The following is a 26,292-nucleotide window of genomic DNA, read 5'->3' on the forward strand; positions in this document are numbered from 1 at the left end:
GAAGGACAGACTGGGGGAGGGGAAGGAGGGAGAAGCTGGGGAGGATTTCCCAGCCCAGAGCCTCTGCCTCTGGACCCCAAAACTGCAACTTCAAGCCCCATCGGACCCCCAGGTTTACCCATGGAACATCAGACCTGATGGAAAGGGATTTCAGACTCAGGACTTCCAGGTAAAATTTTTGGTAAGAACTGGACATTGAGGTCCAGAGGGGGTTCAAGCCATGTCCCAGGACACACACATCATCCAGGCAAAACCTGGGCCCAGGGATTGTGACATTTGAAGCATGCTCCCCGGGGTGGCCCTGCCTCTCTGTGCCCTAGGAGGCCAATACCCACGCTCCCAAACTCTGCCCCATCTGCAGGTTCTCGGCACCCCAGTGACTGGAGGTAGCAGATGGGGGCCAGGCCATTCCCCCACTCAAATCTGATCTCCCTCAGCAGCCAAAGGAAGATTCCTAAAACACGAACCTGATCGTGTCGCTCTCCAGGTTAAGGCCCTTGAATGGCTCCCCGCTGTCTGCAAGAGAAGACGGAAGCTCCCTGGAGGGCCACAGGGCCTTTGATCTGCTTGCCTTTCCAGCCTCACCCGCCGTTAGGTACTTCCAGGAGGTCTCCAGATGAGCCCTCTTTCCTGCCTCCAGGCCTCTGCAAGTGCTCCTTCCTTTGCCTGAGCGCCTCCCTGTCCTCTGCTTCTCCACATTACTGCCAATGTGGCCTTCAGGTCACAGCCTGGACATCAGTTTCTCCTGGCAGCCTTCCCTGCCCCCGTGTCTTCGGCTTCCCTAGACCCTGATCTCCTTGGCAGTGTGTGGGCAAACAGGCAGCACCGTATTCACCTCCACATCACACACATGGCTCAGCACGTGGTTCACACACATAGTTCAGGAGTGCTGTACTCACCACCTCATCATACACATGGCTCAGCACCTGCGTATGGCAGGCAATCAGTAAATGCTGGAAATGAATGTCCTGGATGGAGGGACTGGACAAGGCACTGGAGATGGCCTAGAGGCCCAGGTCTAGCAGAGCCATCCTGGGGCAAAGGGATCTGTGCCTCTACTGAACACTGGCCTCTGGGGGAAGCCTCGCCCCTGGTCTCAATGTTAGAGCTAAACTTAGAAGCCAGCCAGTGTAGCTGGGGGACAGGAAGGAGCAGTAAACCACTGATTATAGGTCTGGTCTATACCTGGGTCTGTGCTAAGTGCTCCACACACATCTCATTCAATCCTCCTAACAGTGCTAAGGTGGAAATTACTATTCCCATTTCAGGTGAGGCAAACGAAGCTCAGAGAGGTTAAGCAATGAGCCAAAGGCCACATTGCAAAGGTGCCTGAAGAATTCTAAGCTAGGCAGCTGAAGAAAGGGGTGGGGAGAACAGACCGCTTCTGTCTGACTCCACAAGTCAAGTTCTCCTCAGGGCATCCACTCCCAGCCCAGCAAAGCCTTCCATTTCCTGAGTTAGGCTCCAGAACCTCAAGCAAGAGCAGTAACTTATCTAAAGTCCACAGGGTCTCCTAAGCCTTGGTCTGGTGCTGAGGTTACCTTGCCCCCAAGTGGGGCTCCCATCACCACCCTGGCCCCCACCCACAGCAGGCTGAACACCCAGCCAGAGTAGGGAGGGAGGATGTGGCATGGATATCCATACCACATTTATACTGGGATTTTCAGCCAAGCGTGACGGTATGCCCTGTAGTCCCAGCTATTTGGGAGGCTGAGGCGGGAGGACTGCTAGAGCCCAGGAGTTCAAATTCACCATGGGCAACATAGTGAGACCCTGTTTCTATTTAAAGAAAAAAAAATCCTTTCTCTTATGGCCTCAGTTTTCCCTTCTGAAAATAGGTGGAACCACTCTGCCTAGCAGAAACTGAACTTTTTGCAAAAGTGTATTGGAATATTAAAAAAAAAAAAAAAGGTGGGGGTGGGGATAGGCCCGGTGGCTTATATCTGCAATCCCAGCACTTTGAGAGGCCGAGGTGGGCGAATCACCTGAGATCAGGAGTCTGAGACCAGCCTGGCAACATGGTGAAACCCCGTCTCTACTAAAATACAAAAGTTAGCCGGGTGTGGTGGCACACATCTGTAATCCCAGCTACTCGGGAGGCTGAGGCAGAAGAATCACTTGAACCTGGGAGGCGGAGGTTGCAGTGAACAGAGATAATCCCAGTGCACTCCAGCCTGGATGACAGAGTGAGACTCCGACTCAAAAAAAAAAAAAAAAAAAGTCAAAGAAAGGAAAATCATTTAGCCCAGGGCTCTGTGATCTATCCCAGGCTGCAAGTCCTGCCTAGGTCTCACCCAGACCCACCCACTCATTCCCCACCTCCCACTCCAGTACAGCCTGCCAGCTCCTGGTACCACTCGTGACAAAGATCCCAGCTCTGTTCCTGTCCCTGACTCAAAACACTTCCCTCCCTCCTCCCCTCAGTAACTTTCTAGGACTCTATGAGCTCCGTAAGCTGCAATCACAGAGACTTTTCTCATTCGGGAGGTGACAGGACACAGCAGTGAAGAGTGATTAGCTTTAAGTCAGAATGACCTGGATTCGAACTCCAGCTCTTAGTCTTGGGGAAGTTATGAAATCTCTCAAGGCTCAGTTTCCTCGTCCATAAATAGGGGTGATGACAACAGTGCCCGCCTCTGCATTAAATGTGATGGTGTAGGTAAAGAACCTGCTCCGTTTCTGGCATTGGAAGGGTGCTTAGTCAATGCTAGCTACACTTGTATGATAACAGAGTTCACCACTGCTCTGGGGCTGTTCTGGGGAGAAGGGAAGATCTAACTGGGACAGGTGCCCTGTCCCATCATCTCCCCACCCCCTCACCACTCCAGGCCTGAGCCATTCTAAGAAACAGCAGCTCTAGGGCAAAGAGGTCACACCCCAGCTCCAGCAGCCCCAGCACAAATGTGGAGCCCAGAAAAACAAGCACCCCGGAGACCCATGGGATCTTCCTGGCAACTACCTTGATTATTTATTTATTTATTTATTTATTTATTTATTTATTTACTGAGAGTCTCACTCTGTCACCCAGGCTGGAGTGCAGTGGCACCATCTTGGCTCACTGCAACCTCCGCCTCCGGGGTTCAAGCGGTTCTCCTGCCTCAGCCTCCCAAGTAGATGGAATTACAGGCATGCGCCACCACCCCTGGCTAATCTTTGTATTTTTAGTAGAGATGGGGTTTCACCATGTTGGCCAGACTGGTCTTGAACTACTGACCTCAAGTGATCCACCCACCTTGGCCTCCCAAAGTGCTGGGATTACAGATGTGAGCCACTGTGCCCAGCCTAGCTTCATTTTAAGCTTCCAAATTACAGAGTCTCTAACCTGGAAGAAGTTTCCAGGGACCTTGCAGTCTACCTCCCTGCCTCCAGTTATCAAACTACCTTAATGAAAGAGACTTGCTCTCATTGCTTAAAAATCCTCACAATATCCCTAGCCCAAGGATGGCAGCTAGCCATTCCATCAATTACTGATGACTGGCTGGGAATGCTGTGTTCTGTGTTAAGGAGGATCTGAGGCTCTGTCTTGACTCAGCAGGAAAGAGCACAGTGATGAATCAGCCATGTTTGCTGTGGGCTTGGGAGGGGAAGTGCCAATACACATTCCCTGTTTGTCATTCCTACTCTGGCATCTCCCTTGACTATAAGCTCCCAGAAAGCAGAGGCTGAGCTTTACTTAACTCTGTGTCCCATATGGTACCAGACATACCGCCTAGCCTAGAGTAGGAATTTAGGAAATGTTTGCTCTTGCAATCCTTACATTTTGCAAGTTCTCCTTGGTATCTAGCTAAAATGTCTCTTGCTGCAGTAGAAGCCTGTTCTTTGAAATATACTGAGCAGTCCAGCCAAGTTTCGTGTTGTTTGTACACAGCCCCAGCCACTGATCCTCTTCCCTGCCACCCTGTGCTCTGAGACATGACAGATTCTCACCGGGGAGGCGGAGTCGGGGGAGCCAGAGGGTAGGGCCGGTCGAACACGTGCATGTGGTAGGCTGGCGGGGAGTACACAGGTGGGGGCTCTTCATCCGAGCTATCAGGTTCCAAAGTCCTTTCCAAGATCTAAATCAGAGGCAACAGAGAAAGAAATATTAATCATCCCTCCTTGAATTTAAATACCATTCAGACAAAATCAAGTGTGGGAGGGCAGGTATAATAAAGGAACTCTGTGTGTTGCTAGTGGGAGTGTAAATCGATACAATCACCACTTTAGAAAACTGCCTTTTTGAAAAAGCTAAACACATGGCTACCTCTGACCCTCCAGTTCTGGCAACTCCACAGACATCAAAGTGTATGTCCCCAAAAGAATGTTCACAGCAGCATTCTCCCTCCATGTGCAGTTCAAATACAGGCAGAAACAAATACACAGTGGTAAGGGTCAGGGCGGTGTGCCCTCTGTGGAGCGGGTAAGGGTGGGAACAGATACCAGGGGCACTCCAGGTTCTGGGGATGATGGTTATTGAGCTGGTGCTGATAATGTGGAATATTCGCACTGTGAAACTCCACCGAGCTGCATGCGTGTGACTCATGTGCTCCTGTACCCATGCTATTCTTTGATGATAACATCTTTCATACCTTCTCTCAAAGTACCTCCACGTCTCTGATCTCATCTTAACCTCGAACAACCTGGCGCTGTAGGATATGGCTCATTACCCCATTTGACACAGAAGGAAACTGAGGCCGAGGCTAAGTGACATGGCAAAAGCCACACGCTTTTTAGAACTGAGTCTTCAACTTGGACCACAAGGGTCCCTCCTTCAGGCACACTGGCTGCACACTCAGGTTGGACTCTCAGGGCGGAGAGTAGCAAGGGGAGTGCCCGGGATGCCTGCTCTCCTTCCCAAGCTCTTGTCTTTATCCAGGAGCCAAGAAGAGGGCCAGGGAGAGGCCAAGGACTGGGCAAAGTCTGGGGTCCTGCTCCACTGACCGACTTAGATTCTTCCCCAGAAGCCCAGAGAGGAGTTTGGGGCAGCTAAACACATGGCTACCTCTGACCCTCCAGTTCTGGCACACTCCGCAGACATCAAAGTATATGTTCTCCTGCCTCGGCCTCCCAAGTAGATGGAATTACAGGCGTGCGCCACCACCCCTGGCTAATCTTTGTATTTTTAGTAGAGATGGGGTTTCACCATGTTGGCCAGGCTGGTCTTGAACTCCTGATCCACCATAGGGGCGGCCCCTGACTGGGAGATCCCTCACCACACAGCCCAACCTGGCCTACACCTTCGCCTCCCGCTCACTCCCCACAACTCTGTTCCCATCTCCTCCAAGATCAAAGAATATGGGAGGAGCTCAGAGGCTGTGAATCTCAGGTGCCCCAGAGCCCCCAGACCTCAGGTGAGTTTGCAGAAGTCACCATAATAATGCTGCCTGTATAAGCCTGGGCTGGGCCAGGCCTCACTGGTACATCTCTGCTCTTGAGACCAGCCATGCCCAGCACACACAGCCTCCCAGGGGCACCTGGTGGGTAGGGAAGTGAGCCTGTGCATGTGAGCACACATACACACACACGCGCACATGCACACACATGCACACGTGCACTCTGCAGTGCTCTGCGCTTACATAGCTAGCTAAACCCAAGGAGGCCTCCCGCCCTGGAATGCACTAACGTTCTTTCCTTTGAGGCCAAAAGTATTTAAACAGATGCTTTTGCAGGAAAGGAAGAATGTAGTGCTTGGCAGGCCACTGCTCTGCTTACCCTAAATTTCCACAAGAAAGGAAAAAAGAGAGAGAACACTGTAAGCGCTGCTCCTGTTCCCTGGCGACTCTCTGGTGCCTGGCACAGGACAGTGACCCAGCAGGTACCTGGTGCATTCTGAGAACTTGCTGCTGCTGTCCCCCAGCCCAGGCACCCTGTTTCCCAGACCCCTCTTCTCTGAGGGATAGGGCTTTGGGCTGCAGCCTTGAGGCCAGCAGTGGTGGGTCTCAGTGGCTGGCCTGGGCTATTCCCACTGATATGGGTCAGAGTGAGGTGGGTGAGCAGGGGAGGAGAGCGCAGTAGAAACTGTCCCCTAAAGGAAGCTGCTTGGGGTTTCCCCTGACCATGGCTAGTGGCAGTCAGCCCCCCAGACTCAGGGCAATCAGCCCTCCCCAGCCACACCAGGAGGCCCCCTCCTGCTCCTCTGTGCAGCCTCCCAGGGCAGCAAGACCAGACAGACGTTCATCAGAGCCTCCTGGAGAGGACTTGGGAAACACAGAGAAGACAGGCGGCCGGCCAGGCAAGCTCCAGAATGCAGGGCCCGAGTCCCAAGGAGAGTAACCCCAGCAGCACTGCTGGCCTCCCTGGCCTCTCCCTCCCACTGCCACCGCCACAAAGAGGTTGTTCTTCTGGCTCTAAAGGTGCTGAAGTTTTTGGGCTCTGCAGCCTCCTGGCTTAACTCATTGTGGGTGATGGATGCCTGCCAGGTGCTCCAGGGGGCAGGGTCTAGGCCATTTATCTGACAGGAGATACTTCTCCATGGCAAGGATACCCCTCGGGCCAGCCCACCATCCATCAGCCCCCAGAAAGGGTTTTTTTTTCCAGTCAGCAGTTATTGTCATTCCAGCTGTGGCTCATAAATTTTCCGAAGCACTTTCCGCTGGCTCAGGAGCTGCCTGCCTATGGGCCCAGGCAGAGTTCCAAAGGTGGGGGGTTGGGGAGACTGCCAAGGGAGGGGAGGGGTACCGGGAGGGGGCTCAATTTGGAGAGCAAGATTCTTAGAAAAACAGAAGTGCACACACAGCAAGGGCCTACCTAGGGGGTGGTGAAGCCTTGCAGAGGTCTATAGGACTGTGGGGGCCATGGACAAAGGAGAAAATACTACCCTACCTGCCAGACTGTCAGGGCAAATCAGACTGCAGAAAGGGTCAGAGCTTGCAGAGAGCTTTCCTTCCAGTTCACACTTAAAGCATATACAGTTGACTCTCAAATAACAAGAGTTTGAACTGCGTGGGTCCACTTATAGGTAGATTTTCTTCCACCTCCACCACCCCTGAGACAGCAAAACCAACCCCTCCTGTCCCTCCTCCTCAGCCTACTCAATGTGAGAAGATGAGGATGAAGCCCTTTACGATGATCTACTTCCACTTAATGAGTAGAAAATATATTTTGTCTTGCTTATGATTTTCTTAACATTTTCTTGTCTCTAGCTTACTTTATTGTAGGAATACAGTATATGATACATACAACACACAAAATATATGTTAGTCGACTGTTTATGTTAAGGCTTGAGTTAAGGCTTGAGGTCAACGATAGGCTATTAGCAGTCAATTTCTGGGAAAATCAAAAGTTATATTAAAAAGTGGATTTTTGACTGCAAGGGGAGGATTCACTGCCCCTAACCCCTGCATTGTTCAATGGTCAACTGTATCTGCAGACACACACATACATACGCATACTCTCACTCTCTCTCTCTCCTTCTTTCTACAAAGAGGATCCATATTTTCCAATATTCCTTCCACCACCTACTCCAAGCAGATCAAAGGAGTGGTCTCCCAAGGAGAGAGACAATAGAAAACTGTACAAAGACAGCAGCAACACGTACTCATTCAACAAACACTCCCTGAGTGCTTGCTATGTGCGTGGATTGTCCTGGGTGCTGCAGATGACACAGGGATGAGCCAGATGTCTTGGCCAACAGAGCTTTTCCACCTCTAGGGGAAGTCTCAGCAGCACCCACTAAGGAGGAAAAGCAAGGAGACTTTGCCCTGCAGGATGGCTGATGAACAAGGGTAATAATAATGCCACAGCACAAAGTTTGTGAGGATTAGAAGAGATGACACATCGGGCCAGGTGCAGTGGCTCATGCCTGTAATCCCAATACTTTGGGAGGCCGAGGCGGGCAGATCACCTGAGGTCAGGAGTTCGAGACCAGCCTGGCCAACATGGTGAAACCCCATCTCTACTAAAACTACAAAATTAGCCGGTCATGATGGCACATGCATGTAGTCCCAGCTACTCGAGAGGCTGAGGCAGGAGAATCGCTTGAACCTGGGAGGTGGAGGTTGCAGTGAACCAAGATCGCGCCATTGCACTCCAGCCTGGGCGACAGAGCAAGACTCTGTCTCAAAAAAACAAAAAAACAAACAAAAAAAGAAGATATGATACATCTAAAGCACTTAGGATGATGCCTGGCACGGGTCGGGACTCAATAAAGAGTGGAGTTAAATCCTGCTGGGTCCTGGTCTTGTCCATGGCTGCATGTCCCAGATGGCCCTGTGGACAACACCCCTCTGATTAACAGGCTCTGTGTGCCTCATCCTTCTGCACCAAGCACCTCAGGCTCTGCTGATACTGGGTGGCCAGATGTCCACTGAACTCGGGTGGGACTGGAAAGGACTCACAACCTCCAGCAGGTGGGTACTGATGCAGTACGCAGGTCCCCTCTCTCCAGCCACTTCCCTGGAGAGACTGCTTGGCTATGGCTCACTACTGTTTCCATCAGGCCACAGTCAGAGGGATTTAACTGGCAAGTCTGATTCCTCACTCCCTTTCCGTGGCTATGCTCCCAGGATACAGCCGCACTCTTTTTCTTTTCTTTTTTTTTTTTTTTTTTTTTTTGAGACGGAGCCTTGTTCTGTCACCCAGGCTGGAGTGCAGTGGCATGATCTCGGCTCACTGCAACCTCTGCCTCCCGGGTTCAGGCGATTCTCCTGCCTCAGCCTCCCGAGTAGCTGGGACTACAGGTGCGCACCACCACGCCTGGCTAATTTTTGTATTTTTAGTAGAGATGGGGTTTCACCATATTGGCCAGGCTGGTCTCGAACTCCTGAACTCATGATCCACCTGCCTCGGCCTCCCAAAGTGCTGGGATTACAGGCATGAGCCACCTCGCCCGGCCCCAGCCGCACTCTTTTTCTCAGCGTCAGGGCTTTGTCAACCTCATTGATCTCCTCTCACTCTAGGACCCTGACAGATGGTCCTGCTGCCAGTTCCCTAGCCAGTGAGGCACTATTTCACCTCCCAGACTCTGCACAAGCTGTTCCCTTTGCCTGCACACCCTTCCCCCGGCTTCACTCTTCCTTTGGGTCTCAGCTTAGGGTTTCGGCTTAGCCATCGCTTCCTCTGGGAAGTCACTCCTTTCTGCTGCTTCCACGTCTCCATCGAGCACTTACCACTCTGGCCGTCAGTACCCGACTCGCGCTTCTAGTCCACACTGGACTGTGAGCTCCAGGAGGGCAGAAATTTGGTCTGACTTGGCCACTAGCGGACTCTACGCCTGATGTGGAGTTCAGTATGTTGGGGTGGGGCCCAGGCACCTGCATTTTTAACAAGCACCTTGATTCTGATGCCTCCTGACTCAGGGTCTAGTGCCACGTCTCGCACACCACTGAGTGGGCGCTCAGTGTTTGTTGAATGACTGCATGATTTCTGCCCATAAAATAAGGTGACTGACGGATGGTACTTTTCCCTAGGGGAAGTAAGGCTGCTTGCTAATTAGAACCCAGATAGCGGAGTAACCCAGGTCCTCTTAGAGGTTCCAGTGGTGGTTGGAATTACCCGGGCCGTGCCCCTACCTCCGGGGGGATGCTGTCCTCCAGTGGTGGTTGGAATTACCCGGGCTGCGCCCCTACCTCCGGGGGGATGCTGTCCTCCGAGTCGGAGCTGTCCTCATAGACGCCGCCGCTGCTGCCACCGCCCTCCAGGTTCATCTGCAGCAGCTGGTCGATGGTGGCGTCCACAGCGCCGCTGTTGGCGCGCAGCACGCATTCGATGATGTCGTAATCCATGTTGGGGAACATGGTCTTGAAGTCGTCCATGGCCTGGTTGAACTCCAGGCGGCGCACCTGGCGGGCAGGCCGGCTGTTGTTGAGCTCCTGGGGGGCGGCCGTGCCTCCCCCGCCCCCGCGTGCCCCGGCGGTGCCACCCCCGCCGCTGCCGCTGCTGCTCCGGCGGAACAGGCTGGTCATTTTGCGGAGCCGCTTGGGGAAAATGTTTCTAGCCGGCCGCAAAGCCCCTTCCCCAGGGTCTTTCCGCCGTCAGCCGCTTACTTGCCCTGCGGTCTCGGGCAGCTCACTCCTGCGCCTCCTCCTCCCCGGGTAGCCAGGCAGCAATGGGCTGCCAAGAGCTCCGGGTTAGGAGAGTACGGGCGCGGGGCCCCAGGCAGCCCTTGGAGAGCGGTCCTCGCGGGGCGGTGGCATGCGGGACCGGGCCGTGCTGGGGCTGGGCGGCCGGTCATCCACACCCCCGGTGCATCCTGGCACCGGTTTCACGGATGGTCCCACCTGAAACCGAAAGAGATGGAGTCAGGGCCGAGGCTAACAAAACATGAGCTCAGGGTGGCGGCCAAGGGCTACTAAGAAATGAGGGCAGGGAACCGCGACCCCTACCACGGGCAAGGGAGGCTTGCTTCTTCCTCATGCTTTCTCCCCGGCTTCAGTAATGAAATCCCCACAGTTCTTTACTAGCACAGGACAGCCACCAGTTAGCAAGGGATTCCTCCGACCCAGGTGCCATCCTAAGTGCTCTATGTGGGCCAACTCATGACAATACTGTAAGGTATGTGCTAGTATGCCCATGTTGCAGATGGGAAAAGTGAGGTATAGACGCTGAGTTAGTGGAGGAGCCAGGATTTGAATCTGGGACATATGGCCCTCAAGTCACTGGTCTCTACCATTACACATACTGCCAAAGACCCCTGAAGACCTGAGTGAGGCAGGAGGGGCTCTTTAAAGATGTCCTGCCTCTCTGATCTCTAGTCCCTGTTCTCATCTTCCCACATCACTGCCCCAACATCGTGGTCCCACCACCAGGGCAGGAATCTTGTGCAGAGCTCCATCGAACCCCGGGGACAGCAGTGATGAGAAGCGGGACCCTCCAGTGTCACCGGGAGCTTCCAGCCTGAGAGAGGAAACAGGGTTTCATCCTTGCAGAGCCTCGGGCTAATAGGGGAGGCCCAGTTCCCACTCTTGGAAAACTCATGTCAGGCCCTAAAACTCAGTCCATTCCCCTGAGAAGCACCAGCCCAAAAGAGAGATGCAAGGCCATTGTCAACCCCTGGAGTTCATTTTCCTTACCCCAATGTCAGGCCGACATGTTTTATTTATATCACAGACACGTTTGTTCTTATGGAACACTCAGTGTCCTTACATATTTTTAAAAATTCTAGAAGTTTTTTCTCAAAGTTGTCTTGAGAAACCATATACATCATAAATTCTGGTTGTTTTTTTTTTTTTTTTTTTGAGACGGAGTCTCGCTCTGTCACCCAGGCTGGAGTGCAGCGGCACGATCTCGGTTCACTGCAAACTCCGCTTCCCGGGTTCACACCATTCTCCTGCCTCAGCCTCCCGAGTAGCTGGGACTACAGGCGCCCGCCACCACACCCGGCTAATTTTTTTTTGTATTTTTAGTAGAGACAGGGTTTCACCATGTTAGCCAGGATGGTCTCGATCTCCTGACCTCGTGATCTGCCCGCCTCGGCCTCCCAAAGTGCTGGGATTACAGGCGTGAGCCACCGTGCCCGGCCATAAATTCTGTTCTTATCCCCACCAAGCCCAGTTCTCCTGCCCCAGCCAATGTGTGTCCCTCAGCCCCCAGGGTCAGCACAGTGTCCTGACAACATGTATAGGTGGAACTGAAAATCAAGCACAATGAGGGACCTTAATCTGCCACAGAAAACCACCCGGCCCACTCAAACCCAGGCATGTAAATCACTGCCAAGGTTGCATTTCTGTTAGCACAGACCACTGGGAATGGAATGCGCCTAAACACCAACTTCTGACAGTGGCAGCTTTATTTTAAGGGACAATTCCATCAAATAATATCCTTGAGTTTGATGAAACAGGTGCAAACTTGTTTTCACTTTTCTAGGACTTGGAGTCACAATCTTAACAGCTGATACAGAAATTTTTTTTTTTTTTTCGGTCTCACTTTGTCGCCCAGGCTGGAGTACAGTGCTGTGATCTTGGTTCACTGCAACCTCTGCCTCCCAGGTTCAAGCAGTTCTCCTGCCTCAGCCTCTCGAGTAGCTGGGACTACAGGTACACGCCACCACGCCTGGCTTTTTTTTTTTTTTTTTTTTTGTATTTTTAATACAGATGGGGTTTTGCCATGTTGGTCAGGCTGTTCTCAAACTCCTGACGTCAGGTGATCTGCCCACCTTGGTCTCCCAAAGTGCTGGGATTACAGGCATGAGCTTCAATGCTTGGCCAAGATGTTTTTGTGAGTACATCAACCCCTGAGAAAATCTGTTCACACTTTAGTGTGTCTACATCTCGATTTTTTCTTTTCTTTTTCTTTTTCTCTTTTTTTTTTTTTTTTTTTTTTGAGACAGAGTCTGGCTGTAGCCCAGGCCGGAGTGCAGTGGCGTGATCTTGGCTCACCGCAACCTCCACCTTCCAGGTTCAAGCAAGTCTCCCATCTCAGCCTCCTGAGTAGCTGGGACTACAGGCACGTGCCACCACGCTTGGTGCTAATTTTTGTATTTTTAATGGAAATGGGGTTTTACCATGTTGGCCAGGCTGGTCTCAACCTCCTGGCCTCAAGTGATCCACCTGCCTCAGCCTCCCAAAGTGCTGGGATTACAGGCGTGAGCCACTGCGCCCGGCATTATTTTTTCTTTGCATATACCACCATAAATGAATTTATTTTACTAAAATGTAATCAAACCATAAATCCTATGCAACTAGTTTTTTCCACATAATAAGATATTGTGGCCATCTTCCCATGTCAGAATACGTAGGGCTACGCCATCATTTTTAGTGCCTGAGTAGCATTCTGTTGACTGAGTGAAGCATGATTTATAATCCAACTCCCTCTACCCCATCTCTTCCCAGATGAGCAAGTCAGAGCCCAGAGACGCCCAAGCCATTTCACAAGAAGACACAGAGGGGTGACTTCAAATGATCAGTCCAAGAGTTTTGCTGTGAGAAGGAACATAGGAAGGTAGCCAAGTATGACATGGCTTCCCATAGCCGGCTTTAGACACCCCAACACCCCTACACCCACATCTCCACGAACCCACACACATCAGAAGAGTATGCAGCTTCGCCTGGGCTCCACCCTGACAGCTGCCTTTGTCCTGGGCTCTGGGGACCTGCCCTCAAGCCTCTAACACAGACCTCAGGGCCAGGAGGCCCCAGAAGCTGATGCCTTGGGCTACTGTCTGCTGTCCTAGTGTCATCACACACAGGGGTCAGTGACTTGTGTTAAGGCCTTCTGGAGTAAAGCCATCATCTCTCTGCCCCTCCAGTAATTTACTAACAGAGATGGAGGGACCCAGGTCTCACTCTGCCAAAGGCAATCCCTCGGAGAAAGATGACCTGGGCCACCCCCAGGGGAGGAAGAAAGAAGATGGCAAGACCGACATTTTCCCCATTAGCAGCCCTCTGGACAGCTCCCTCGGGTTCTGGGCCTCTCTGAGTGTTGAGAAGCTCCAGAAGCCTTGCACTCTTGCCACTTATAGGGAACACGCACCAGTTCAGACAAGGCCTCCGCACTCCCCAGCTGTGGGACCTCAGACAAGTCTCCCATCCTCTCCGTGGCCCTAAGCCCTCATCTGGATGTATCCCTTAGGGGGTTTCAATGGGAATGAAATAAGATAATCCTCAGCACACTGCCTAGAACGTGGCTATGCTGCATTTGAGTTATCATTGCCCCAGGAGGCTGGTAAAGAGCCAGGAGCAGTGGGTAAATTGGCCAAGCTGCCCTCACAGGGGGGATGGGGTAGGGAGATTCTAGGGGGGTCTTCCCCAGCACCTGGATGTCAATCCCTGGAATTCTTTCAGCCCTCTGTAAGGAAATATTGATCCTCATGGCCCCAGGGGAGGCTGGGCTGGCCTGGGCAACTGGAGACACAGCAGCTCAAGCAGCCGCTTCCATTTGGCCCAAGTGCAAAGCTTTGAAAGCATCCTTGTGGGGACCACAAAATGTAAAGGACTGACAACTCCAGCCCAGCCCCACACCCTGCCTCACATTACAGGTGAAGAGCCTGAGACCCAAGTCTAGGAGGGAGTTGCCCAAGGACACACAGCGAGTAAAGGCAAAGTCTAGACTTTTCTATCAAAGGGTGGTTCTGTGGATGAGGAGAGTGGCTCAGAAACAGTAATGGGAAACACAAGGAAGCAGTAATGGGAAGCATTTTGATTACCAGAAGTACCATTTCCACAGGACTCTATAAGGTCTCAGAGACTCCCAGGCTGCCTATAGTTAGAACCAGGTGGACTATAGAGGCCCCCAATTCTCAGAGCACTGTCCCTCTCTCCCCCTGGCTAAGCTCAGGGCAGAGTCTGAGGCCATGGCTGTGGTGTGCCTGGGAGCAGGGTCAGAGCCGTCCATGCCAGGCTGCCTTTTGCAACTAGCACTGCTCAAATGAAAAGCAGTTTAAAATACACGAAAGGATTAAAGCAAGTAGGCGACAGGTTTACGAGCCTGTGCCACATGCTTTCACATTTAATCTTTATTACAACTCCATGAGACAGGTGTTGCTGTCTCCATTTCATAGCTGTGGGAACCATTTCAGAGAGGTTGGGTAAATTGCCCAAAGTCACACAGCCAGTATGTGGAGAGGCCAGAATAGGAACCCACTTCCTAAGAGGCAAAAAATGCCAAGTAAGGCTCACAGGGCTATGAGCCAAGGAGCATAAGAAATTCAGCCATGTGTGCCCCAGGCTCAGGAGACTGGGCACAGCCCAGAGGACATTTCAGCACAGGAAACATGACCCAGACAGCATGGTAGCAAGGTCTCTTGGCTCTGCTCCAGAGCTGGCTCTGTGACCTTGGAGAAACCATACCACCTCTCAGAACCCCAGCTGCTGAGCACTGGCAGGGAAACAGAGGGACATAACCCCTGACTGGCTTCTGAAAAAGGAAGCAAACAACCCACTGGGCTCATCAGACCTCTCGGAGGCTGACTCAAAGGCTCCCCTGAACTCATGGTTGTGGATGACCTGGAGACTGGGAAGCAGAAACCCCACACCTGTCCTCCTCCAGGTCCCAGGAAGCCAGGATCACAGTGGCCCTCCACCTCCCCTGTGAAGGAATCCAGGCCCGGCAGGGGCGGCAAACAGCCAACCTCCTCTCCTAGCATAAGCACGCAGCCAAGGCCTGAGTCACTCCCGGCTTGGCCCACGGAGGTGGGCAAGCTGCCCCAGTGCAGTTCATCTGGCCTTGCCCAAGGTCATCCCAGCCAGCCTCCTGCCTGGTACATCAGGGCCAGCGAGGGTCTGCATGGGGGCTATGAGAGCTGGGGAGCCAGAGTCCTGGGTGCACTTTGTGACCTTAGTAAGGCTGTGTGACTTGGGGAAATTGTTTCATTTCTTTGCACCTCAGCTCCCTCATTTGTAGACATAGGGGAGGAGTATTAATAGAACGTACATGGGTACCTGGCGTATAATAAGCACCAGTGACACAGGCTGCTGTGGCTTGGGGCACAGGCCTGGGACCTTTTCCCGGGCTAGACTCACTCCCTGAGCAATCTCATCCAGCCCCATGGCTTGGAATACCATCTGCATACTGAACACTGGCTCTCATGTGCTCCAACCTCTCATGGGCACTCCCCTCAACTCCACACTCATACAGCCTTCTTGCTGCCTCCACTTGGACATCCAACAGCAGCTCCAACAACATGGATCCATCCGACCTGTGATTCCCTCCGACCCCAACCTGCTTCTCCCCTGCCTTCTCCATCTTTGTTAATGGCAACTCTCCCTGGCTCCAGCCAAAACCTTTGGAGTCATCTTGGAGTGCTCTCATTCTCTTATACTCTATGTCCAATCTATGGCGAAGCCTGTCTTCCCCGTCTTCCAAATGATTTCTGAATCTGGCCACTCCTTACCACCTCCACAGCTACCATACCCTCCCTAGCTCCCTGCCTCCCACGTGTTGGCCTAGAGACCCCTCATCACAGGGGTCATGCCCTTCCTCTGCTCCATGCCTCCCAATGGCTCCCATGTCCCCAGAATACCCAGAGCTTTACCGTGGCCAACCCACATGGTCCTGCCCATGTCACCTCGCTGTCATATGTGCACGCACACATACAGACAGAGCCTAACTCTCTGTGGCCACCTGGATCCTTGCTAGTCCACCAACGAGCCAAGCACACTCCCACCCAGGGGCCTCTGAACTTACTTTTTCCACCAACTGCTACGTTCTGCTCCCACATATCTGCATGGCTCCCTTCCTTCTGGTCCCTACTCAACCATCACCTTGAGGGGGAACAGAGTGGCAAGTCCACCCCCCAACATCCCAGTGTTCCTAACCCTTTAGGCTTCCCTGTCTTCTTCATGAAACAGACCACCTTGAATATTATACATTTGTCACTGATATCTTCTCCACTAGAATGTAAGCTCCATGAAGGCAGGGGCTTTGCTATACTCACTGTGGTATCCCCAGTGCCCGAATCAGTGCCTGGCATGGTCAATAGACATTTATTAGGCGAATGAGTAAAGAAGGGAAGGAAAGATGGAGGAGTGCTGTAACTGTGGATTTCCCTCCCTTTCCTTCCTCCTCCGGCTCACAGCAATGATGGGAGGGGGCCTTTTCAGTTTCCAAAGCCCTCTCTCCCCTACACACTCATTTACTCCTCACAACAAACCTAGAAGATATATAAGGGAATGCGTTATTATCTCACTTCACAGACAAGGGGTCTGAGGCCAAGGCAGCCCAGTGACGTGGACACAAGGCTGATGGCAGGCTGCCCCTTTCCAAGCCAGTGCCAGCACCAGGGGGCAGGAGGCTAACCCCCTCCTAGATCTGACTTGACCTTCCATTCTGCCCCCCAGGAGGACCAGGGCCCAACCCTGAAAGGTGGGAGTTAGAACAGGAAGCCACAGGTCCCAATTGCCAGCACCTTCCTGTGTCCCACCCAGAGGCCACTCTTCTGGAAGGAGGGTAAGACTCCTCAGACCAGCTCTGTCTCTGTGCACCCCAGGCTCCCTCCTCTGAAAATCACCAAGGAGCAGACCCTACGTCCATCTGTGACTGCCGTGATGCCTGCCTGCAGAGGGATTTGCTTCTTGCCTAAGATCTGGCACAGCCCAGTGGCGCTGCCAAGCCAGGCCACTAGGTGGTGTCCCAGAGCTCAGGCCCTGGCAGCTCCCAGGGAAAGGGCCAGAGTGGCTTTTCTCTCAGAACCCAAGAATGTGCCCCACCCCCACCCTTGGCCTGATTAAAAGGGAGAAGAACCACCCAGTTGCCTCAGGGGTCTTAGCACCCAAGACCCGCAGAGTTGTCAAATCATTTAATCCTAGGCAGGAAATCTTTGGCACATGTGCCACCACCTTCTAGCCCTCATCCTTGGCAGACATCACTAATCCACCCAGGTATTACTGTCCTACAGAACACACACAACCTCAGAACCCTTTGCAACACCGCCTCTGTGCAAGCCACGACCAAGTGATTAGAACTGGCATGCAAGACAAGCCACTTGCCAGCGCTCTCATTTCCCGTATGAGGACACGCAGGCCAGGCTCACTCTGTCTCATTGGGAATCCAGGCTGCAAAAGCCAGTGGGGCCAGAATGAGGTCATATGACCCTGGGAGGCTTGTGTAACCATGGTTGAGTCCTGCGGAAACCTCAAGTGTGTAATGGCAGAGGCTGCTGGGCTGGGGCAGCTGCATTCTCGGCCAATTGTCACCTCAGAGCGGGTGGGGTGCAGGGAAATCTGCCTGAGCTTCTTGGCTTCAGAGCTGAAGAGGCCCCAAAAGGGGGTGAAAGGAAGGGAAGAGGAGAGCAAGAGACAGAGGCTCTCAGGGTATGTGTGTGTGTGTGTGTGTGTGTGTTTCAGGCAGCCCTGACAGAGACGCCTTGTCCTCCTGCCCCTGCAAAGGCTTGTTTTCTTCCCAAGCTATTAATGTCGCTGCAGCTTCAAAAGCCGGGTGACCTTTAAACGCTGAGCCTCCTGCTCCTGCCCAAGGCTCGGAAAAGGCTTAATGGAAACTCGACCCAAATGGCCACAGCTGCCGGGGCTGCAACAAAGCCAGCCTCATTCCCGAGGCCCCCAGAGCTGCTGGGCAGCCACACCTGTGCCCACCCCCAGGCAGCCAGGAAGGGCAAAGAGGACCCTCGGGCACAGCCATTGGAGAAAAGAGGCCACTGGACCTTAGGGGAGGAGGAGGAGGAGCAGGGGAGAGACAGACAATGCTGTCATGCGCTGCTGTGTGACCTTGGGTACTTCTCTGGACCACTCATCTCTTCTACATCTGTAAAACACGAGAATTTGGCAGGGCACAGTGGCTCACGCCTGTAATCCCAGCACTTTGGGAGGCCAAGGCAGGTGGATCACGAGATCAGGAGTTCAAGACCAGCCTGGCCAAAATGGTGAAACACCGTCTCTACTAAAAATACAAAAATTAGCCAGGCATGGTGGTGGGTGCCTGTAATTCCAGCTACTCGGGAGGCTGAGGCAGAGAATTGCTTGAACCTGGGAGGTGGAGGTTGCAGTGAGCCAAGATCGTACCACTGCACTCCAGCCTGGGTGACAGAGCAAGACTCCGTCTCAAAAACAAAACAAAACCAAACCATGAGGATTTGATAAAAGGACTCCTAAACCTCTTTGCCAGGAAGAAGCCCCACTGCCACCCAGAGAAGCAGGACACCTGGTTTCCATGCCCACACAGCAGAGCTGCCGGCAGGGGTGAGGCTGGGGGCAGCCCCTGCCTTCCAAAGGCTACTCCATGAGCTGTGCAGGCTGGGCATGGCATGATGCCTTGGCCACCCCCACCCCTATCACTTAGATCTGTAAGGGTGGGGCATTCCTTTAAAAATTGTTTTTAATCTTTAAAAATCAGAAGAAAGGCCAGGCTTGGTGGCTCATGCCTGTAATCCCAGCACTTTGGGAGGCCGAGGCGGGCAGATCATCTGAGGTCAGGAGTTTGAGACCAGCCTGGCCAACATGGTAAAACCCTGTCTCTACTGAAAATACAAAAATTAGCCCAGTGTGGTGGCGCATGCCTGTAATCCCAGCTACTTGGGAGGCTGAGGCACTTGAATCACTTGAACCAGGAGGCAGAGGTTGCAGTGAGCCAAGATCACACCACTGTACTCCAGCCTGAGCAAGAGTGAGACTCTGTCTCAAAAAAAAATCAAAAGAAAAAATACGATTCAAAAAAGACCTTTTCTTTTCTAATTTTTCTCTCTCCTGCCTCAACACTTGTGGCCAAGTCTGTAGCCAATGGGAGATGTGGGGCAGGGACGAGGGCAAGAGGTTTCAGAGAAGGTGAATGAGGTCCCTTGTGGACAAATTGGTCCCAGAGCCTCAGTCCTAAGGACATCATCATTCATCTCTGCTCCTGAGGCCCAAATATCAGGTGTGGCTGCCACAAAAGGCACCATCAAGAAGCCAATTCTGCCTTCTAGTGAAAAAGATCCAAGATGAGGCTTCTCAGCAGAGAAACATGTCATTTGTTTGGTTCATCTTAGCAAGATAATGGTCATAATAGTCATAATGAGAATAGATAACACTTATTGCCTGCTTCCTTATATGCTAGCCACTACTCAAAGTGCCTTATTGCATGTTAACTCTCTTCATCCTCCCTACAGCTCTACAAGGTGCATATTACTACTGCTATTTCCACTTCATAGTAGAAAAATGAGGCGTAGAAGGGTTGAGTAACTTGTTCAAGGTCACACAGCTAAGTGGCCAAGCTGAAATTTGAACCCAGAAGGTCCGATTCCAGATTTAACACTCTGTATCCATTGGGCTTGATCACCATTCCATATTCCCTAGAGCCTAGCACAGAGCTGGGCACACAGCAAGAACTCAATAACTGTGAGTTAAATTGAATACTAAAGGACAGGGTTGCCCCTGGAGAGGCTGGGGGTGCCTGGGTGCCACTGGAGGTATAAGGGATGGTGCTTATGTCCAGGAAGCAAAGGAGAAGACAAAACAGTGGCAGTTTCCTCACAAAACCTTTTTCCCATCCTACTGAAGTTGTCAAGTTGCCTGAGCAACCAACTGTTTTCCACCACAACCTGGGCTGGCTGGGGACTATTTCCACAACAGTCCCTCACTCCATAAACAAAAGCCACCAGCTCAGCCAAGATATTCGACTCAGGTGCCTGGGAGGAGATCAAACCTCAGCGGATTAAGGGGGCTACTGTCCCCCTGCCCCTCCCCTCCCAGGTGCCACAGCTCTAGGGGACCCCACTGGGCTGGCAGGAACACGCGCGTTCATGCTACCAAGTCAAAGGGCCCACGCTGGAGGAAGGGGGCCACTGGTAACTCAGGTGCAGGGCCAAGGAAGCTGGGTTGGCTCCAGGCATGAGCTCATACTGGACCAGGCCCAGCTTCTTGGGAAAAGGGGTCAGCTGCTCCTCCCTGGGCTTCTCCTATAGGCAGTCAGGCTGAAGGCCCCCCCAGTAGGCTGAGTTCTGAGGTCTGGACAGCAGCAGGAGACACCTCTGGGTCCCCGGACAGGCAGCAATCCATGCCCCACAATTTAGCATCCGAACATGCCCAGGTAATCCGGGTCAAGGAACCCATGATTAGAAAGGAGTGCTCAGGATGGGCAGAGGAGGGTCCTGCAAACAGAACTCCCAACCCCTGCCCTTGCCCTCCACACTAAGGCACACTTTGCACCTACCTACTGATTCAGGAATTCCACTTCTATGAAATTTACCTACAGATGATATGTTTGCAACTGTGTTGAGTATGGGCATAAGGATATTCCTTGTAATAGTCTAACAGCAGAAGACTGGAAACACTCTACAAGTCTACCCGTAGCAGGCTGATGAAAATATGATACATTATCAGCATCCTCCTCTCTCTATATAATGCTATTCAATAACAAACAAAAATGAGGGATTTCAATATGTCTCTTTAGCCCAAGACCTAAGGGAACAATGCAAGGTACAAAACAATGAGTATAGTCACTCTACTATAGTGCATTATGGGGTGTGTGTGTGTGTGTGTGTGTGTGTGTGTGTGTGTGTGTATGAAATCCGAAAGGATTCACAAGAAACTGATAATATATGTTTCCCCTGGGGAGAACTGGGTCATAAGAGATAGATCAAGGAAATTTTTCCACTACAGATTCTTGTATACCTCTAAAATTTTGATTGATACTCATTTATTAATTTAAAAATAAAATATGCAAATAATCCATTATTATTGGATTACTAAGAACATTAAAGTAATAGCATTGCCAGTGATTTTTATATCTTTTTCTTCTTTCTTTTTTTTTTTTTTTTTTTTTGAGATGGAGTCTCTCTCTGTCATCCAGGCTGGAGTGCAGTGATGTGATCTCAGCTTATGCAACCTCTGCCTCCCGGGTTCAAGTGATTCTCCTGCCTCAGCCTCCAGAGTAGCTGAGACTACAGGTGCGTGCCACCATGCCAAACTAATTTTTTGTATTTTTAGTAAAGATGGGGTTTCACCATGTTGGCCAGGCTGGTCTCGAACTCCTGACCTCTGATAATCTGCCTGCCTAGGCCTCCCAAAGTGCTGGGATTACAGGCATGAGCCACCGCGCCTGGCCATGTCTTTTGCATATTATATCATCTACAGCAGACATAAGTTACTATTTAATAATAATTATAGCAAACGTCTATGAGCACTTGGTAGGTACATGCATTTTCTATATACTTGGCATGCATTATCTCATCAAATCCCCACAGTACAGCAATGAATACATCCATTTCACAGAAAAGAAAACTAAGGCTCAGAGAGATTAAATAACTTACACAGGGTCACATAGTCAGTGGCAGAGCCCGATTTGGAATCCAAACAGTCTGGCCCCGGAGTCCATGATCTTCTTAACTTCCAACCTATAGTGTCTCTAATTAAAAGTTTTTCTAGCCGGGCGCAGTGGCTCACGCCTGTAATCCCAGCACTTTCGGAGGCCGAGGCAGGTGGATCACAAGGTAGGGAGATTCAGACCATTCTGGCTAACACGGTGAAACCCCGTCTCTACTAAAAATACAAAAAATTAGCCGGGTGTGGTGGCAGGCACCTGTAGTCCCAGCTACTCGTGAGGCTGAGGCAGGAGAATGGTGTGAACCCAGGAGGCGGAGCTTGCAGTGAGCCAAGACCGTGCCACTGCACTCCAGCCTGGTCTCAATGAAAAAAAAAAAAAAAAAAAGTTTTTCTAGAATGTCTTTACTCTCTAATTAAAACAAAATTTTACAAAACCTGAATTATGGCCAGGCGCGGTAGCTCACGCCTGTAATCCCAGCACTTTGGGAGGCTGAGGCGGGTGAATCACGAGGTCAGGAGTTTGAGACCAGCCTGGCCAACATGGTGAAACCCCGACTCTACTAAAAATACAAAACTTAGCTGGGCGTGGTGGCAGGTGCCTGTAATCTCAGCGACTCAGGAGGCTGGAGCAGGAGAATCGCTTGAAACCAGGATGCAGAGGTTGCAATGAGCCGAGATTGCACCACTGCACTCCAGCCTGGGCGACAGTGCGAGACTAGGTCTAAAAAAATAAAAACTGAATTGTGGTAGAAAAAATCTTAAGAAAGCAAACCCCAGAGCCTCCAGGGCTTTAAAACCTTTTCAATCCTAAGAATCCCAACCCAATCCTTCCTGCTCTGATCATTTAGGCAGGCTTTCTTCAGTCACTGCACCCCATGGTGCACCCTCCAACCTTGGTCAGGGACTCACCTGCCTCCTGCTGGGGATGCAGGGAAGGAATGAGGGCCGAGTGGACAAAGTGCTGGCTCATAGCATAGCTGTTTCAGAGGTAGAACCACAGTGTGGAGGGCCTGTTGGGGCACAACAGGGCTGGGGGTCTGGCCAGGAAGCTGCCGGTGGAGGGGAGACCACAAGTTGTTTACTGGTGCTATGTCTGGGGTAGGAAGCCATGGAGCGAGTGGTCAGGAGTGGGGCTTTAGCCTGAGTGGTCAGGAGTTGGGCAGTCCTCTGCTTACCTCCTGATCCTGCAGCTTATGGGGCAAGCAGGATTGCTCTGAGCAATCTGTAATATGGGGATACATATACCTTCTCAGATGGCGCTCCTGCAGGGGATTGACTGTGGTGGGCATGCACAGCACCCCACAAGGGAAGCTGTCAGTCAGAGGCAGCTGTTAGTAAGACTCTATGAGCACGGGCCATTCACACCCCAAGGCCACATAGTTCCAAGGGGCTGATTCTAGAGTCTGGCCCAGGCGTCTGGCCTGGGAATCCAGCCCTGAAGGGAGTGAATGTGGAGCACAAAGGCCTCCCCACTCAGGGACCTCCAGGACCTCAGGCTGAGAGGGCTCAGGGACCCCAAGGGAGGAGCAGGGAGCTGGGCCAGCAGCCCTGTGCCCATTCCTGCCCATACCCTGCCCTCCAGCTAAGCTTCCAAGGGTAGGAGAAGTGATTGGAATAATGCAGGGTGCCCACTCCTAACCAGGGGAAGGAGGTGGCTTGAAGGGGCCTGTCCCCCAAGGGAGGGGCTCCATGGGCTCTGGGCAGCAGGAGCACAGGCAGAGTGGCCCTCTCAGAAATGCCTTCTCTGGCAGCTGAGGAATGTAGGCCCAGGACAGAGGAACAGAGGCTGGGAGGGAGGGGTGGCTGGCCCAGGGCTGAGCTTCAAAAGAGCAGGCAGCAGCTGCGGCTGGGAGGCCGCCCGCCTCAGGCAGCCGGGACACCATCAGAAATTCCACCCAGAGTGAGAAGGGCCCAGCCCAGACAGCAGATGGGATAATTTAGAGCCACTCACTGCTGGGCCAGCTGCACCCCCCCAACCACAGACTGCTCCCTCCACCCGGCCTCAGCCCCTGCTCCGCCTGTGTAGCAGCAGCGATCCCCTTGCACAGTCAGGGGCGCCCAGAGCCCAGCTGCCCAGGTCCCCTCTCCTGCCCATCCACATACCCACGTGCCCACACGTATACTCTGGAGCTGCCACGGTTAGGGAGGCAGGAGAAACCTCATGTTTTCACTTCCACATGGTGCATGTTGCCAGAGGTCAGAGAGCCCAGTGGCTGCAGCACTGGGATTCGAACCCAGATCGTGAGACTCCTGGCCAGTGCTCTCTCCTTGTATGGGCACATACAGCAGCACATGCCAGCACACAGCTCACATGCCTGCATGTGCTAACAGGCTCCCACTCACTGCCACACACACCAGCTCACTCAACCCCATTCACTTGCACAGTGCCACATGCTCCTCCCAGGCCCTCGCAGCCATAGGACACAGACAACACTTTAGGATTTTTTTTGAACCGTCCCACACAGCCCAGGCACTCAATGTACTACTCCCCTCTTCGCCCAACTCTGAAGCTATGTTTTTAAAATTACAGTCACTCTTCTATACACACTCGCTAGTGCGCACTGACAGCACCCTCAGCCCTCCCACAGCCCACCCTCCAAGCCACCCCCTTCATTAGGCTGATAGCAGGGCCAGATGAGGCCCTGGGATCCCTCTCTTCCCCCATCTGCACCCAGAATGGGTTTTACAGCATTGGTAAGGTCAGGCTGACCTGACTTGCAGCAAAACTGGCCAGAACCAGGAAGTGGCACACCCTGGCCAAGACACCAGCTTCCTGGTTCCCTGCAGGCCCAGCTCCTAGAAGGCAGTGCAGGGAAGGACCTCAGGCCAGCTGGGGCTGGTAGCCTCAGCCCCAAATCTAACAATCAGGGGAAGGGGGCAAGAGCTTTTAGGGGTCCCATAACCAGCTTCCTTTCGCCTCCCGAGGGCCTCAATCTCTACTTCTAGAAAATGGAGAGAAACAGTCCCTGTTTGGTCTGATCATTGAAATCTTCCAGGGATATAGGTGGGGGCTGGGGGAGCCGGTCAGGACCAGAGAAAGGCACCACTGTTCTAGGCACAAACCAGGATGAGCCCTCTGCAGAAACAGCCTGCTGCATCCTAGTCCCCCAGGGATGGAAGGGTCTGTACACTTTCTTTAGCTACAGAACCAGAACCCCTTTCTTCAAATGAAACCCTCAGCAGAAGTCCATTATGTAAAGGCATTAAACAGAAACCTGCCCTCATCCACCCCCAGCAATTATGCATCATCAGAGAAGCTGCCATTTACCAAGTGCTAGGCAAAGTACTTCTCGTGCATCACATCATTTAATCCTCGTGACAATGTAGTAGTGCAGGTTATTACCTTCCACCATCATCATCACCATTTTATAGATAGATACACTGAGTCGTGTGTGACCTAGAGGTTGTCCAGGACTGCGCCACATTGAAATTGCATGTACATGTCAAGTCTCCTGACATACCACTTACTTGCAATGCATTTTAAAGCCTGGGTTTAATCCCTCATGCTCTCATCTTTAAAGCTGTTTGCATCTCTGCCTGTTCTGCTCACTGCTACTGATGAGGCTTCAGGAAATGCAATGAGCTTTTCCATCAGTCTAAGAAGTCAAATGTTCTTTGCACTATAGCAGGTGTATCTCAGAGGACGGTGGCGACCACCTTCCTCAGACTCCCCTGAGGTGTTTGCTAAGAACCCATATTCTCTAACCCACTATTAAATCAGAATCTCTGAGAACATGCTCTGGGGATGTGCTTTCTAACAAGCTCCCTGGGTCATTCTGATACACAGTAAATTGTGAGGACCACTCTCTTGCAAGGTGATGCAGTTCAGAGACCTGGATGCTGGTTTTGGTCCCATCACTAACTAGCCAAGTGACCTCGGACACATCATTTTACCTACTGGGCCTCCAGGTTTCCATCCGGAAAATGGGAGGGTAGGACTAAATAATCTCCAAGACTCTTTTCACCTCCAACATTCTCTGTGTCCACTCTAGGTTCCCAGCTGGTCCACAGGTATACAAACTGACTTTCACAGACTGCTTGGTCCCTGTAGCAGCCAGCGCACACTGTAGACACTCATGACATAAAGTTCCTGTCTAGTTGATTTAAGGAAACCTGAAAAAATACCTTACCTCTGGCTCTAGGCCCTAAACAGATGGCTTTTGGATCATCCATGCCACCTACCCCTCCCCTGAATATTTATTTTCTTCATTCCAGCCCCAGCCGTGAGCCAACCAGGACTCTGTAAACACTGAGTCTGCACACCTGGGCTTAGTCAACAGTCATCAAACAAAGGCACTGCCAAATCACCTCACAAGCCCAAACTTGCACCTACTCTGTCTGTCACAGGGAAGCAGCCACCTGGGAGGTGTGAATGGTGTGCTCCCCTTCTCCCAACACAGAATGGGCATGAGGGATTGGGCTGTATAGAGGATGTAGCCGGAACGGCCCCAGCCTACAAATGGGTTGCAAGTTTAATTAGACTTAAGGGATATGAGAAAACAGCATGAGAAGCAGCCAGCAGTTGCAAGAATCTTCCAGAAGCAGCTAGACATTTCTCAGTCCCTTGGCTTCTTCGATAATCATCATTAAAATATGATGCACTGGCCGGGCATGGTGGCTCACACCTGTAATCCCAGCACTTTGGGAGGCCGAGGCAGGCTAATCACCTGAGGTCAGGAGTTCAAGA

The 26,292-nt window shown here is 52.1% G+C and overlaps 1 protein-coding gene across 7 annotated transcripts in view, besides 12 other annotated features; it reads right to left on the reverse strand.

Annotated features, from left to right (window-relative positions):
• Window positions 1-26,292, reverse strand: part of CUEDC1 (CUE domain containing 1) — a 94,170-nt gene that overhangs the window by 14,441 nt on the left and 53,437 nt on the right. For 5 of the 7 annotated variants that reach the window (XR_934459.4, XR_934460.4, NM_001271875.2 and 2 more), the window contains exons 2-3: window positions 9,546-10,196; window positions 3,928-4,055 (exon numbers count right to left, since the gene is read on the reverse strand). Coding sequence is in view for 5 of the 7 variants with exons in the window: in NM_001271875.2 (NP_001258804.1) it covers window positions 3,928-4,055; window positions 9,546-9,881 (464 nt within the window). In the remaining 2 variants the exon portion in view is untranslated. Of the gene's footprint in view, window positions 1-467; window positions 517-3,927; window positions 4,056-9,488; window positions 10,197-26,292 lie in introns of those variants that run through there. The other 2 variants (XM_017024641.3, XM_011524812.3) reach the window with 2 other exon arrangements.
• Window positions 5-646: an enhancer, noted in NCBI's record as "NANOG-H3K27ac-H3K4me1 hESC enhancer chr17:55953049-55953690 (GRCh37/hg19 assembly coordinates)". NCBI's record gives its function as "activates a minimal SCP1, AML or CMV promoter by ChIP-STARR-seq in naive H9 embryonic stem cells {active_cell/tissue: H9 hESC(naive)}" and the evidence as "EXISTENCE:reporter gene assay evidence [ECO:0000049][PMID:30033119]".
• Window positions 647-1,287: an enhancer, noted in NCBI's record as "NANOG-H3K27ac-H3K4me1 hESC enhancer chr17:55953691-55954331 (GRCh37/hg19 assembly coordinates)". NCBI's record gives its function as "activates a minimal SCP1, AML or CMV promoter by ChIP-STARR-seq in naive H9 embryonic stem cells {active_cell/tissue: H9 hESC(naive)}" and the evidence as "EXISTENCE:reporter gene assay evidence [ECO:0000049][PMID:30033119]".
• Window positions 3,332-3,884: an enhancer, noted in NCBI's record as "H3K27ac hESC enhancer chr17:55956376-55956928 (GRCh37/hg19 assembly coordinates)". NCBI's record gives its function as "activates a minimal SCP1, AML or CMV promoter by ChIP-STARR-seq in primed H9 embryonic stem cells {active_cell/tissue: H9 hESC(primed)}" and the evidence as "EXISTENCE:reporter gene assay evidence [ECO:0000049][PMID:30033119]".
• Window positions 4,992-5,544: an enhancer, noted in NCBI's record as "H3K27ac-H3K4me1 hESC enhancer chr17:55958036-55958588 (GRCh37/hg19 assembly coordinates)". NCBI's record gives its function as "activates a minimal SCP1, AML or CMV promoter by ChIP-STARR-seq in naive H9 embryonic stem cells {active_cell/tissue: H9 hESC(naive)}" and the evidence as "EXISTENCE:reporter gene assay evidence [ECO:0000049][PMID:30033119]".
• Window positions 5,545-6,097: an enhancer, noted in NCBI's record as "H3K27ac-H3K4me1 hESC enhancer chr17:55958589-55959141 (GRCh37/hg19 assembly coordinates)". NCBI's record gives its function as "activates a minimal SCP1, AML or CMV promoter by ChIP-STARR-seq in naive H9 embryonic stem cells {active_cell/tissue: H9 hESC(naive)}" and the evidence as "EXISTENCE:reporter gene assay evidence [ECO:0000049][PMID:30033119]".
• Window positions 9,582-10,082: an enhancer, noted in NCBI's record as "H3K4me1 hESC enhancer chr17:55962626-55963126 (GRCh37/hg19 assembly coordinates)". NCBI's record gives its function as "activates a minimal SCP1, AML or CMV promoter by ChIP-STARR-seq in primed H9 embryonic stem cells {active_cell/tissue: H9 hESC(primed)}" and the evidence as "EXISTENCE:reporter gene assay evidence [ECO:0000049][PMID:30033119]".
• Window positions 16,885-17,626: an enhancer, noted in NCBI's record as "H3K27ac-H3K4me1 hESC enhancer chr17:55969929-55970670 (GRCh37/hg19 assembly coordinates)". NCBI's record gives its function as "activates a minimal SCP1, AML or CMV promoter by ChIP-STARR-seq in naive H9 embryonic stem cells {active_cell/tissue: H9 hESC(naive)}" and the evidence as "EXISTENCE:reporter gene assay evidence [ECO:0000049][PMID:30033119]".
• Window positions 17,287-17,336: an enhancer, noted in NCBI's record as "active region_12449". NCBI's record gives its function as "activates an Ori minimal core promoter by ATAC-STARR-seq in GM12878 lymphoblastoid cells {active_cell/tissue: GM12878}" and the evidence as "EXISTENCE:reporter gene assay evidence [ECO:0000049][PMID:35858748]".
• Window positions 23,285-23,579: a silencer, noted in NCBI's record as "tiled region #2303; K562 Repressive non-DNase unmatched - State 22:ReprW". NCBI's record gives its function as "represses a minimal TATA promoter and a strong SV40 promoter by Sharpr-MPRA in K562 cells {active_cell/tissue: K562}" and the evidence as "EXISTENCE:reporter gene assay evidence [ECO:0000049][PMID:27701403]".
• Window positions 23,285-24,182: a biological region, named in NCBI's record as "Sharpr-MPRA regulatory region 2303".
• Window positions 23,511-24,182: an enhancer, noted in NCBI's record as "H3K27ac-H3K4me1 hESC enhancer chr17:55976555-55977226 (GRCh37/hg19 assembly coordinates)". NCBI's record gives its function as "activates a minimal SCP1, AML or CMV promoter by ChIP-STARR-seq in naive H9 embryonic stem cells {active_cell/tissue: H9 hESC(naive)}" and the evidence as "EXISTENCE:reporter gene assay evidence [ECO:0000049][PMID:30033119]".
• Window positions 24,183-24,853: an enhancer, noted in NCBI's record as "H3K27ac-H3K4me1 hESC enhancer chr17:55977227-55977897 (GRCh37/hg19 assembly coordinates)". NCBI's record gives its function as "activates a minimal SCP1, AML or CMV promoter by ChIP-STARR-seq in naive H9 embryonic stem cells {active_cell/tissue: H9 hESC(naive)}" and the evidence as "EXISTENCE:reporter gene assay evidence [ECO:0000049][PMID:30033119]".

Source organism: Homo sapiens, chromosome 17 (genome assembly GCF_000001405.40).
Source record: "Homo sapiens chromosome 17, GRCh38.p14 Primary Assembly".
Classification (NCBI taxonomy): Eukaryota; Metazoa; Chordata; class Mammalia; order Primates; family Hominidae; genus Homo; species Homo sapiens.